Source organism: Homo sapiens, chromosome 10, assembly GCF_000001405.40.
Source record: "Homo sapiens chromosome 10, GRCh38.p14 Primary Assembly".
Classification (NCBI taxonomy): domain Eukaryota; kingdom Metazoa; phylum Chordata; class Mammalia; order Primates; family Hominidae; genus Homo; species Homo sapiens.
This window is the reverse complement of record NC_000010.11, coordinates 91,823,439-91,836,895: the sequence shown is the minus strand read 5'-3', so window position 1 is coordinate 91,836,895 and position 13,457 is coordinate 91,823,439. Positions and strand designations below refer to the sequence as shown.

General features: G+C 35.8%; 1 protein-coding gene across 6 annotated transcripts in view; it reads right to left on the bottom strand.

Moving 5' to 3' along the window:
* The window catches only part of TNKS2 (tankyrase 2), a 67,050-nt gene that overhangs the window by 28,580 nt on the left and 25,013 nt on the right, over positions 1-13,457 (bottom strand). For 3 of the 6 annotated variants that reach the window (XM_011540213.2, NM_025235.4, XM_017016699.2), the window contains 5 exons: positions 9,693-9,879; positions 8,490-8,611; positions 5,882-5,973; positions 5,715-5,793; positions 2,872-3,043 (listed from right to left, as the gene is read on the bottom strand). In XM_011540213.2, coding sequence (XP_011538515.1) covers positions 2,872-3,043; positions 5,715-5,793; positions 5,882-5,973; positions 8,490-8,611; positions 9,693-9,879 — 652 coding nt within the window. Of the gene's footprint in view, positions 1-11; positions 1,616-1,932; positions 2,267-2,871; positions 3,044-5,714; positions 5,794-5,881; positions 5,974-8,489; positions 8,612-9,692; positions 9,880-13,457 lie in introns of those variants that run through there. The other 3 variants (XM_017016701.2, XM_047425795.1, XM_017016700.3) reach the window with 2 other exon arrangements.

Genomic DNA, 13,457 nt, shown 5'->3' with positions numbered 1-13,457 from the left:
GAGTGACTAACCTCTATTTGGAAGATGGAACCAAGCTTTATGGAAGGCATCTCATCAGAAAGCAAAGTTCTTTTACAATTTGGTAGATTATGTACGAGATCTCCATGGTAGTAAGGGGGGTGAGGGTTGGGGAGTGAAAAATAAGATTCTCTTAAAACTCTTTGAAATACAACACATATAAGCAAAATATGTAAATGTGTATAATGATTATAAAATGTGATGTAAGCAATATAAAGGAACATAAAGGAGATGACTAAAGATGGCCTGCTCTATAAGCAAGCCATTGGAATGGTGCAAAAGTATTAAATTAAGAGAGCAAACAGAAATCTAACTGTGGTTCTGTCATTAATTAGCTATCTGAACTGGAACAAGTCACTGGAACTTCCTGGTTCTCAGATTTTTTCAGTTCTAAAGACATAAGGTAGACTAGTAGAAATGTAACATCATTTCCAGGTCTGAAATTCTAAGTTTACAGCTCATTTAAAGTGTCAGAAAAGGAAAACATCTACCTTGCACCTTAGAACAAAGTAAACTCCAGATGGATTAAAGATGTAAGTATGAAAAATTAAACCCTAAAAATACTAGAAGAAAACGGGGGAATATTTTCATAACATGGAATAAAAAAGCTTCTTTGAACAGTACATCAAAAGCAGCATCAAAAAAAGAAAATTGGCATTTGGAAAAATATGTCAGGTAATAACAGCATTAAACAAGAACAAAATGGGAAAAAACCAAACTGTAACATGCATCTTTTAAGAGAATATATTTGAGGCTACAGTGAGCCAAGATAACGCCATTGCACCCTAGCCTGGGCAACAAGAGTGAAACTTCGTCTCAAAAAAAAAAAAAAAAAAAAAAAAATTACACACACACACACACACACACACACACACACGGTATTCTTATGAAAGGAGTACTTTGAAACACTTCAACAAATGAGCTAAAGACATGAACAAGAAATTCACACATACAAAAAAGAGACATGGTTGGCTGGGCGTGGTGGCTCATGCCTGTAATCCCAGCACTTTGGGAGGCCGAGGCAGACAGATTACTTGAGGTCAGGAGTTGGAGACCAGACTCGGCAACATGGTAAAACCCCGTAACTACTAAAAATACAAAAGTTAGGCGCACTCTCAGCTACTCAGGAGGGTGAGGCACGAGAATCACTTGAACCTGGGAGGCAGAGGTTGCAGTGAGCCAAGATCGCAGCACTGTACTCCAGCCTGGGTGACAAGAGTGAAACTCCATCTCAAAAATAAATAAATAAAATAAAAGAAAAATTAAAAAAAAAAAAAAAAAAAAAGAAAGGCCGGGCATGGTGGCTCATGCCTGTAATCCCAGCACTTTGGGAGGCCAAGGCAGGGGGATCACAAGGTCAGGAGTTTGAGACCAGTCTGGCCAACATAGTGAAACTCTGTCTCTACTAAAAATACAGAAAGTTAGCCGGGTGTGGTGGTGTGCACCTGTAATCCCAGCTACTTGGGAGGCTGAGGCAGGAGAACCATGTGAACCCAGGAGGCAGAGGTTGCAGTGAGCTGAGATTGCACCATTGCACTCCAGCCCGGGCGACAGTGCGAGACCCTGCTTGGAAAAAAAAAGAAAAAAAAAAAGAAAAAAAAGAGAAATGGGCAATAAACACATTAAAATTATGTTCAAACTTACTCATAATCAGAAATGCAGATTAAATATCATTTTTTTTCCATCTGCTAGTAGGCAGAGAGGAAATGGAGAGCTACACTGATGAGACTTTTATAGTTAGCATTAAAATCTATTACTTCTGTAATTCACACATGCATATTCACTCAAGGAAAATATTAAGAATTGTAACATCTAGTGCTGACAGAAAACAGGTGCTTTCATATATTCTGACTGTAAAATGCTAAATACCAGCTTTCTATTAACAGAAGATAATTTGACAATTATATGCTACCCTTTGACCTGGAAATTCCACTTCAATAATTTATTGTAAGAAACTAGTTGGAAAGGCAAGTAAAAAGCTATATGTAATGGTACTTAGCATAAAACTGACAAGACTTTACATTCTATCACTAGCCAACTGAATAGGACCAGTGTTATTATCCCAAAAACTGACAATGAAATGAATGTGTGATGTATGGGGGAAGTAATGGGGATCTTCAAAACAGTCTTGTAAGTTCACAGTTTTGGTAGATTCCAGGAGGTTGTATCAATCTGCTTTCATCTGTTCAAGCAGTGTTTCTCAAAACGTGGTTCCCAGAACAAAGGCATAAAGATCATCAAGGATTTACTGTTAAAGACAGAAAAGCTTAATCTATTACATTTTTCTCATCTGAGCTTTCAGATGTCAAAGCTACTGCATCAAATTCTAATAAAAGTAGAGATGTAGACAAAAATACTTTAAAATTTATGGGACCAGATATCTGGGCTGAGATGTTTCATCTATGCCAAGTGTGTAGATATTTGATCTAAATCTTTTAAGACGTAATGAATATGAGTGTATTCAGTTGCTAAATGTTTCAATAAGCCAAATAGTTGGCTACCTTATACAAATTCTACCTGCCTTGAATATGTAGGATCTAAAAATTCCTTTCTTTAAAAATAAATAGCAACCATTTTATCTTACTCTCAAAACTTTCTCGATAAAAACTTGAAAGCCATCTATTTAACTTAAGAAACTGGGCAGAAAATGCTACTGGAACAAAAATCATAATTATCACTTAATGACATTTGGGAACTGAGGATATTCAGCTGATTAAAAGTATAATAACCTAAGAAGAAATAAACAAAAATTCTCAATTTTTCTTATTACCAACTCCTACCTATAATACCTGATATGTGAAAAATTTTTAAAGGTTAATTTAAAAAAATCAATTTCATTGAAGCATGTAATACCTTGGAGGAGTTGCTGTACATTTTCATTTCCCATCTGTAAAGCAGTAAAGCCCTGAAGGGATATAATGTTAGGATCACACCCATAGCTCAGGAGTAGGCGGCAGGTTTGTAGATGACCACAATATGCAGCTCTGTGTAGAGAAGTCTGACCAAGATTATCCAGAGCATTAACCTTAACAAAGCAGAAAAAATTGAAATTAGCCCGCAATGCAAAATTTAAAACCATACAATCATGTATTTAACACTTTTTACTACTTTTAAGTCTCAATTCTTTTATGAGGCCTATTATCCAATGCCAAAGCAAGTATTTTTGCTCAAATCTAGAGAATAAATTTACCAAGTCATGAAGGCTACCATCAGAAGGAAGACTCAATTTTGGGTTAAATGCGAGATGCTGAATAGTAATTGTGTTTATCATTAAAGCATTCACAGATATTTAGAGCTAGACACTGCCTAAGAAAGTTGAACTCATCTATTTTTATGGATCTCTAAAGTGTAGAAATGTAAAGCTTAACCCCGAGATAGACAATAGTAACAAAGCCAGAGATAAATTAGCATTAAAATGCTTATTTCTATAGGCTTAATCTTCTCCCTTATTTATTACCTAAAATATATAGATACACATACTATGGAATAGTCACATAGTGGAATACTCAGCAATAAAAAGGAACAAACTACTGATACATGGATGAATCTCTAAAACATTATACAATGTGGGAAAAGCCTTACACAAAAGCGTACATTTTGTATGATTCCATGTATGTCAAGGCCTAGAACGCACTTTTATGTCAGAAAAAATAAAATGGTTATCTGTCAAAGTGGAGACGGCCTGGGACTGTGCACTACTTCTGCCATGAGATAATGTTCTATATCTCTACAGGAGTTTTGGTTACATAGGTGTATATACTAGTCAAAATTCAGCAAATATCCATTTAAGATCTCTGCATTTCACTGCACATTTTACATCTAAAGAAAAACTGTAAACAAAGATTAAACTCTAGTTGATGTGCATGTGGAAGTATTTAGGAGGAATAGTCTGCAGATTACTTTGAAATGTGTGAAAAAATAAGATATATTGGTGGATGGAGGAAAAAATGGAAAGATATGTAATAAAACACTAGAGTAAAATGTTAGTAATAGTATCTAAGTGGTAGGCAGGTATTTTCTGCAAAATTCTTTCTACTTGGTTATATCTTTGAAATTTTTCACAATAAAAAAAAAATCACCTGTAAGACTCCACCAACGTTATCCCTACCTCCCTGCTATGGAAATAATTATTCAACATAGCTAAGAAATTAAGTTCCTCAGTAATCAATCCTGCGGACACTAGTGTGTTTTGAGACACTGACCAATTCATATTCATGGAATCGGATAATATGTGAATGTGAATATAATCAAGACCTCAATGAACCTAAAACTAGAGTATGAATAGCTAGTCTCCATGCTTACAGGGCCTGAAAAATGGATTTAAAATGCTTAGGACAATCAAACTATTTATTCACATACCCTAACTCGCTGAAATGTGAAAAATACCCACTTAAAAAAAAAAAAACTATTTGGGTACCACTTTGTGTTAGGATTAGGGTGACCACTTGTTCTGGTTTGCCTAGGACTTTCCTGGTTTTAGCACTGAAAGTCCTGTGTTCCCAAAAAACGTGAAGTCCTGGACAAAACTGAATGGTTGGTCACCCTAGTCAAGATTGTTTCATTGAGTGTCACAACTCTAATTCAATATGTATCCAGATATTCTTCAAGTAATGTACCACAAGTATGAAAACAGCAATCAACAAACAGATATAGAACAGAGAGACAAGATATGCCAAGCAGTCAAGCAGAAATAAACTTTATTTTATTCAATAATTTACAATAGGAAAGATCAAGATTATACATTATCAAGAATTCCCCCAAATCAAAGAGAAATTAAGACACAGAGAGGCAACACAAAAAGAAATTGGAGAACTCTAAATCGTTCCTTGAATGAATGGAAACTCAAGAAAGGATAGGTAAGAATAAACTATTCTGCAAATTTCATTTATGGAAGCGTTTCAGGGGCCATCCAAGGAGAAGAGCGTCTATTCCTCTCCCTTCATCTACAGCACATCTATTCTTTCTCTGTTATAGAGTATACTGAATTTCAACTAAAGATTTTGTTTGAAGGAGGCAAGGATCTGTGGCTAAAAACTGTAAAAACTGCTGAATTAGGTGACTACTGTCATCTCTTCCAATCTGAGATGCTATGTATATCTTTTACTGAGTAGTACTTTTAAAAGTTTCTGGGTAAGAGATGATTTCTAGCCTTGATGAAAGCATATTTGGTGAATAAAATGCTTTGTGCACAAATGCCAACTAAAGAACAGTAACTTACCAACATGGGGAGCTATTATGTTTTTAGTCAAATTATTTAAATAATATATTTCCTTCCGTTCAAGTCCTTTGGCTTAGTTACAGAAATAAGAGGGTAAAACAGAAACAAAAACGGTGGTTGGGGTAAATAACAGAAGTTATCATGACAACCAAGAATTAGAAGATATGGGTGAGAAAAGACGATTAGAAAAGATGATAGGTCAGAAAAGTCCTTAAGAATAACTTTAACCTGTGGGCTGTGGTTAAAAGGAATGGAGGAGGGAGGACATACAGGAATGTGTATCTGAATAAACCCATAGATGTTCTAGCAAAAATTAGATATAGAAAAGGTTACCTGCAGGACAATTCTTAAGCATAGATTATAAGGAAAAAAAAGTAATACTTATGAGAAAGTAAATAGTTTAGGAAGTCAGGCATTTCACCTGCTAAATAAAAAATAACTCATTGGATTACCAAAGATTACCAAAAAGGAAGTATACCTTTGCTTCATGTTTCACCACTACTTCAACAACATCATTATGAGCTTTCTCAGATGCCACGTGCAGAGGAGTCAAGAATCTTAGAGAGAAAAAATCAGCCAGACAGTGAATATATTTTCCAAAAGAGTAAAATCTCAATGATATTTAATCATTAAATGTATACTTACTCTTTAGTCTTTTCATTGATGTTTGCTCCTTTTCTTAGCAACAGTTCACATATTTGCTTTCTTTTGGGATATGGAGATGCAGCAGCACAATGCTAAATAATTTAAATTGCAGCATTAATCAAGGACTATACATAACTGATTTTAAGAACATTCGTGTTTCCAATCAAGAACAATCAAGTAGTTATTTAATCTTTTTGTTTTACTTTTGACGCAACTTTGCTCTTGACTTTTGATTGAATTACAACAATTACCAAATTCTGACAGAACCTGAAAATCCTACCTATCAGATAATATCTATTATTACATATTCCAATCAAACTTTACAGTTGTCCTGTATCTTTGAAAAAGCTAGCACTGGTGTGATGAAAACCTTAATGTGACCAATATCCTTTTCAAAACTGTTTCCAAGTAGCATTGTGTTCATGCAATATTTTAAAGGTTAAGAAAACACCCTTGCAAAGGTTGAGGTTTCTTTACATGAAGAAATAACAGAATATAGCCGGGCACAGTGGCTCAGGCCTGTAATCCCAGCACTTTGGGAGGCCGAGGCAGGCGGGTCACCTGAGGTCAGGAGTTCAAGACCAGCCTGGCCAACATGGTGAAACCCCCTCTCTAATAAAAATACAAAAATTAGCCAGTCGTGGTGGCACGTGCCTGTAATCCCAGCTACTCGGGAGGCTGAGACAGGAGAATCACTTGAACCTGGGAGGTGGAGGTTGCAGTGAGCTGAGATCATGCCACTGCACTCTAGCGTGGGCGACAGAGCAAGACTCCATCTCAAAAAACAAAAAAAGGGAAATAACAGAACACTCATCAGCTCTGGATTCTGTTTGGTAATAGCACTGATACAGCTGATCAGCTGAGCAGTATTTATATCTCTCTCAACTAGTTGCTTCGGCAGAATAAGGAGCATGCATTACCTCTGCAAAATCAGTGGTGGAAAATGATATAATCTGGAGTTTCAGGCTGCAGCATCTCTATCTATGATGTATCCAGGAGGAAAGGAGACAGGAAGTAGAGATTTGCCAGTTATAAGCCTAAGCCTAATATCTGCACAATAGGTGTTCAATAATGTCTGAATGATACATGACTAAATCAATGTATATATGTTAAATTAAAACTGAAACCTGAAAACCTATAGAATAAAAGTTCTGGGTAATTTTTCAGCTAAGTTGCTCTATACATCTAAAAACACAGTACACATGAAATCTGTTCTTTGATTTTAACCTGTTGTTAATCAATCATAAAGCTTATCAGATCCTCATGACTTTGCTGCAGATCCATTCTTTGATGTTGCTGTCACCAAAATCATTCCTTTACTCTAAATAAAACCAATTCTAATTGGAGAACATAGTTCCTTTGGTAGGTTAAGGGTAATCATCCCAGGACACCTATCATGAGAGCGCAGAGACCAGACATGGTTTTTTAAAGACTTTTTTTAAAAATCACATCCACCTCAAATTACACCCTACTCCTCTGCACCATCTTGGAGCAGGGCCTGTAAATCTCTGGGAACCTGTAAGAAACTGCTACTGCACCATAACTACTCACCAACACAACTCCTAGTGTGTTTTAAGGTTAATTACAAAAACGAGTTGCTTCACAGTAGTTATGACCAGAATTTTCCATGTCAGTCTTTCCATGTTTCTTTGTACAGTTTTAATGCTGTTGTGGTTTTAATTTTGTACTAGCATTTCTTATTAGTCTACAGCTTTGCTATTTTTTTTTTTTAAATTTAGAAGTTTCTTACAAGCAGTAAAAAGGTCCAAAATGCTTTATAGGTAGGTTTCTACATAAATTTCATAGTTTACATTATGGCATAAGGCAAAAAACTTCTCATAAAAGATATTAGGTAAGTAAGGCTACCATCAGTTAAATCTGCTTCTACACACATTAACTTACTTATCTTCTCTCACCTGAAGCACATTCTGCAACTCACGCAACAGGATTTACTTTCTTCCTTTTAAATTTCTACCTTTAAGTTTCTTTTTTTCTACCTTTCAATTTTAAGGTAGCCCCTGATTTTACCATTCCCTCTCTTATCTTTTATCATGTATCCCTATTAGCTTCCATTCTTTTCTGTTTTTCGTTAGACTTCTCTACTCACATCTACTTTGTCATAGTTCCACAGTTATTATTACCCCTATCAGGGAAGTAACCTCTAAAATACTTTATTCACATTCTAGATCTAATTTTGAAGAAGGAAGGGACTACACCAAGTGTTTTCATCTGGATGGTGGTATTTATTTTATTTTTCATTATTTTCATTGGGTTCCAAATTTTCTAACCTAAGCATTCATTTTTATAACCCCTAAAAAGGCAAACTATATGTATCACTTATGATAATAAAAGCATTACATATAATACATGTCAGAATATGAATAATTTTTTTTTTCTGAGGATTCTCGAACTGATAATAGCATTGGCTTCTGCAGGGTGAGGTTGTCTATTTTTTGGTACTGTTTAAATTTTTAAAAAATATTTGCATAGGCAGTAATTTTTTAAAACTATAGACTCAAAAAAATGCTAGTTCTAAAAGTAGGATATTATGATTAGTTTAGCACGTTCTTCGTTATTGTATTTTAAAAACTTAAATCTGAAACATTACCAATGCTGTTTCATGTGTTTGAGGATGCTTGAAATTCACCATTTCCAGAGAGAGATGTTTTTTGATTCGAGTAACATCAGCTTCTCGTGCAGCTTGCAGCAACGAGTGGCCTTTAAATTCATCTAGATGAAGAAAAAGCATTTACATGTATAACGAGTTCAAATTGAAAAGCCTTATCTAAAAGACATCTAGTATTTTCCTTGAAATTATTTTCAAAATAATCTTCCAAAATAGCCAGATTGAGGCTCTAAAGATATTCTCCAAATTTAACCCCTGAAAACAGACAGTGGTACTCCAGTTCCCCTAAGTTACGGTGCAACTGTATAGACATATGGCCTCAAGAGTATACACAGGTTTAGCCCACGGCAGATTCATGGTCTGTTTTAATTCGTAATTCATTTTGGGATATCTGGAGTACTACAATATCTTCCTAGACTGGAGAGGTTTTAGAATATTTCAAGCACAAAAATTTTTCTCTGTAAAGAAATAGTGATCTCTACACTGACATCATGGCTATAGCAGACAGCTTTGCTCAAACCATCAGGGAACTGGGAACTAGACAAGTTGGATATTTGCAAAAGCCACCTATGATGATGAAAAAATAAAAGAGGTTTTCCTTAAGATTCTCTTTTACTCATCAGACTTGTGGAACTACCAATCATTCTTTATTATTCCAGGATAATATAAATCCAATATAAGTTGCTTACTTGTATGCACTAATACCATATCCAAACTAGGTGGTTATTTCTCACTACATCTACTTCAGCTATAGACAGAAAACCGAACTTGGCCCAGGTGCCAACAATATCAGATGTTAAGATCTGGAGACTGTTTACAAGATGGCAATCTTATGAAGCTTTAACTTCACAAATTCATAAGCTTCATAGATTAAACAGAAAAATCATATCAAAGATGAAAGCAAAACAAATGCTTTCATTTCAAAGGCATACCATCTAATAAGTCTAATACAGCACATATAAAAAGCATATAACTTGACTTGAAAAAATTAATACAAACATATTTTCTTTTCATAGCATCTTAAGTAGAAACTTCCAAATTATTAAATATGCTAAACAACAGTGGATGCCCATGGCTAAGAAAAATATTCTATTATTTAAACATTTCTAAAAACAAACAGGAAAGAAAAAATGTTCAGTTTATTGATATAATATCCTACCTGAACATTCATAATTTTATACTCACATGCTAATCTTTCTTTTAACTGTGGTGTGGGAGCCAAGTCTATAGCACTTTTATTGTGACAATTGAGCAGTGTTGGGTCTGCACCATAACTTAAGAGAAGAGAACATACTTCAACCCTGTTCTTAGAAGCTGCCTCATGAAGAGGAGTGAATTGCCACAAGTCCATTGCATTTACACAGGCACCATGCTGGAGAGCAAAAAGCATATATTTAATGTTCAATTTTTAAAAGAATTCAGAATTATTCGTACTGTGTAATTTAACATCATACAGGCTAAAACAGGTTATGTTCCCAAAGTTCACTTTTTGAGCCAATTATTTCAGAATGAGTATACATTTTTCCCAATGGAAAAAACAGTAGCTGATTGCTAGCCCTACCAACAAGGGTCTACTTAACTTTTCTACTTTTAAGAACAGTTAAGAACGAAGCTTTAGATTTAACCTGCATCTCTTCCAAGAATGAATGCTCCTCTTGCGGTATAGCTGACATACAGTGAAACATACAACTTTGATGAATTCTGACAAATGTATATATCTGTGATACCATCACCCAAATCAAGATACAAGACACTTTCATTACCCCAGAATGTTTCCTCATGCTCCTTTTATAGACAATTCCTGCCCCGATTCTGGCCACATATTAGATATATCTGTTCTTCAATTTCATAAAAATAGAAGAATATAAATTTCTAACGTATGTACTTCGTCTAGATTCTTTCATACATATAATGTTGCTGAGATTCATTCATGTTGTTGCACAAGTAGTTCATTTTCATTGTTGAGGAGTATTTCACAGTATACATATATCATAATTTGCTTATTTATCATCCTGTTAATGCAGATTTGGACTGTTTCTAGTTGGCTGGTTGAGTATCTCTCATCTGAAAACCTGAAATGCAAAATACTCCAAAATCCAAAACTTTTGAATACCGACATGACGACACAAGTGGAAAATTCCACACCTAACCTTATGCACACAAACTTAATTCGTGCACAAAATTATTAAAAATGTTATATAAAATTATCTTCAGGCTATGTGTATAAGGTGTATATGAAACGTAAGTGAATTTCATGTGCAGACTTGGGTTCCATCCTCAAGATTTCTCATTATGTAGTATATATGCAAATATTCTCAAATCCAAAAAATATCTGAAATCTAAAACACTTCTGGTCCCAAGCATTTCAGATAATGGATACTCAACCTGTGTTACAAATCAGCTATCATAAACATTTCTTTATGCACATATGCTGTCATGGTAGATATATGTTTAACTTTATTAGAAAATGTCAAAGAGTCTTCTAATGTGGCTATCGCACTTTATGCAGCCAGCCACCAGCAACATTTGAGTTCCACTGCTACGTGGCAACGTTTGAGTTCCAGTTGCTACATATCCTTGCTAACACTTTGTATTGTTAGGCTTTTTAATTTTAGCCATTTCCAAGTACTGGAGTTGGCTAAGTATGGACCACTGAAGTCAAACTAGTTTAACCAATCAAACACAAATTTCCTTCTACAGCATTCAACTAAGGTGAACCAGCTTCTTACTCTTTCAGTATTTTTGACAATGGGGAGCTAATTTGCAGTAACATGGCTTTTTATAATTACTAGAGAACTTCTGTTGTTACAAAGCTTTCTTCTATATTAAGTTAAAATATGCACTTTTAACTTTCATCTATTTGCCTTTGGAGCAAAAGACATCATAAAGGGCACTCATCTTTCATATCAGATGGTTTCCACTTATTATCATGGTGGCCCTCAACTAAATATACTTTAGTTTAAAAAATTCATTAAAAAATAATTGAGGCCAGAGGCAGTGGCTTATGCCTATAATTCCAGCACTTTGGGAGGCTGAGGTGGGTGGATCGCTTGAGCTTAGGAGTTCAAGACCAAACTGGGCAACATGGTGAAACCCTATCTCTACAAAAAATAAAAAGATTAACATGTGTGGTGGCACCACACCTGTAATTTTAGCTACTTGGGAGGCTGAGGTGGGAGGATCACCTGAGCCCGGGAAGGTTGCGGCTGCAATGAGCCATGATTGTGCCACTGCACTCCAACCTGGGTGGCAGAGTGAGACCCTCTCCCCTCGACCAAAACAAAACAAAACAAAAAAAACCAAACCAAACCAAACCAAACCGAGAGCCTAAAATCACAGATTCCAGTGTGGTTTGGGTGTGCAGAGTACAGTGCATCCATGATTATATTGCTTGCAATACTATTCTACTATTGGCCCAAAATTATGACAGCTTAAGTTGTCACATTATAATTTATACTTAAAATTGAGTTAATGGGTCATTTAAAAACTCTGTATTATTGTTTAAACAAGAAGTAAACACCAAAGTATTTTCTCCTCTCCCATCTTTTTCTTGTGCGACTTATTTCGTGAACTTAAGTGTCCTTGCTGAGCCCCATTAATCTTACTGGCTTCACCCAGAGCTTAGAGCCTGGTGAGATGGTTTTGAGCCTTGATTCTATCAACTTGAATATTAGTTATCCTTCCCAGCTTCATGTTAATCTGCAAACTGGATAAGCATTCCTTCTAATTTTTTATCAAGTCAACCATAGAAGTGTGCACCACAATAAAGATAAAGATAGAAACTTCAGGCCCTACTGGAGGTTCCAACAGTCCCTTCCAAGCAAAGAAATATCAGTCAACACTCTGCACAGTGGTTCAATTAATTATGAATCTATCTGACATAATTTTTCCCTCCATTCTAGCCAGATCTGTCTACTTGCTTCCTAGTATTCAGAGATTATGAGGAAGAATGTTAAGAGAATTCCCTGTTATTCTTGTGCCTGTTAGAGCCAGACCTTCATTATTTGAATGCTTTGTCCAGGGATCGTGTCTTAGTGCCTTCCATGGCTAGCAAATGCCCTGGTCATGGAAAGCAGTCACTGGGTGTTTGCTGTTAAATGCCAGCTTCTGGTAGCCAAACTATTTAGGCAAGTGTTGCCAATTGACTCAGCACTGCTCAGAATCTGCATTCTCAATCCCTATCTACTTGCTTTCTCCTGACTTTGCTTAACTTTACTATCCTGGTAACTACTTACACCCTCACATTAGCTAACTCCCTCTGTAGGTATGACCTCTAGTCAGCCTTTCATTCTTATTTAGTAAAATACTAGGTCTTAGGAAAGTACCACTCAGTTGTCTTTAAGTCCAAGTGCAATCTGTTTGATGTTTCATTCTTATCCATAGCAACTTTCAAATGTTCTGCTGGAGTCAAGATTCAGTTTTACAAGAAGCAAAAGCATTACTGTTACAAATGTATAACATTACAGCCACATTATAAGTTTAATATGCTACTCAGAGTATCTAATTATTATTATAAAGTTGTTTCTATGGGAAAACGTATTTCATAAGACTCAGGCCCGAAAGGAACCAAAGAGGCACTGGAAACAAGTGTCCTCTTTCTCTTCCCGTAACAGCTGCTGAAAGTGGGGAAAAGTGCTGAAGGAGTAGAATGGGTGCAGGGTAACAGAAGTTAAAAGGTATAGGTAACATCCTGGGATCCACTTCCAAAGATAATATATATCTTCTACTCTCATCTAAAAGGGATCAAAATGGGAAGTTTTGGACTGGGTGTGGTGGCTCACGTCTGTTAATCTCAGCACTTTGGGAGGCTGAGGCAGGCAGATCACTTGAGGTCTGGAGTTCAAGACCAGCCTGGCCAACATGGTGAAACTCTGTATCTACTAAAAATAGAAAATTAGCTGGGCATGGTGGCACATACCTGTAATCCCAGGTACTTGGGAGGCTGAGGCA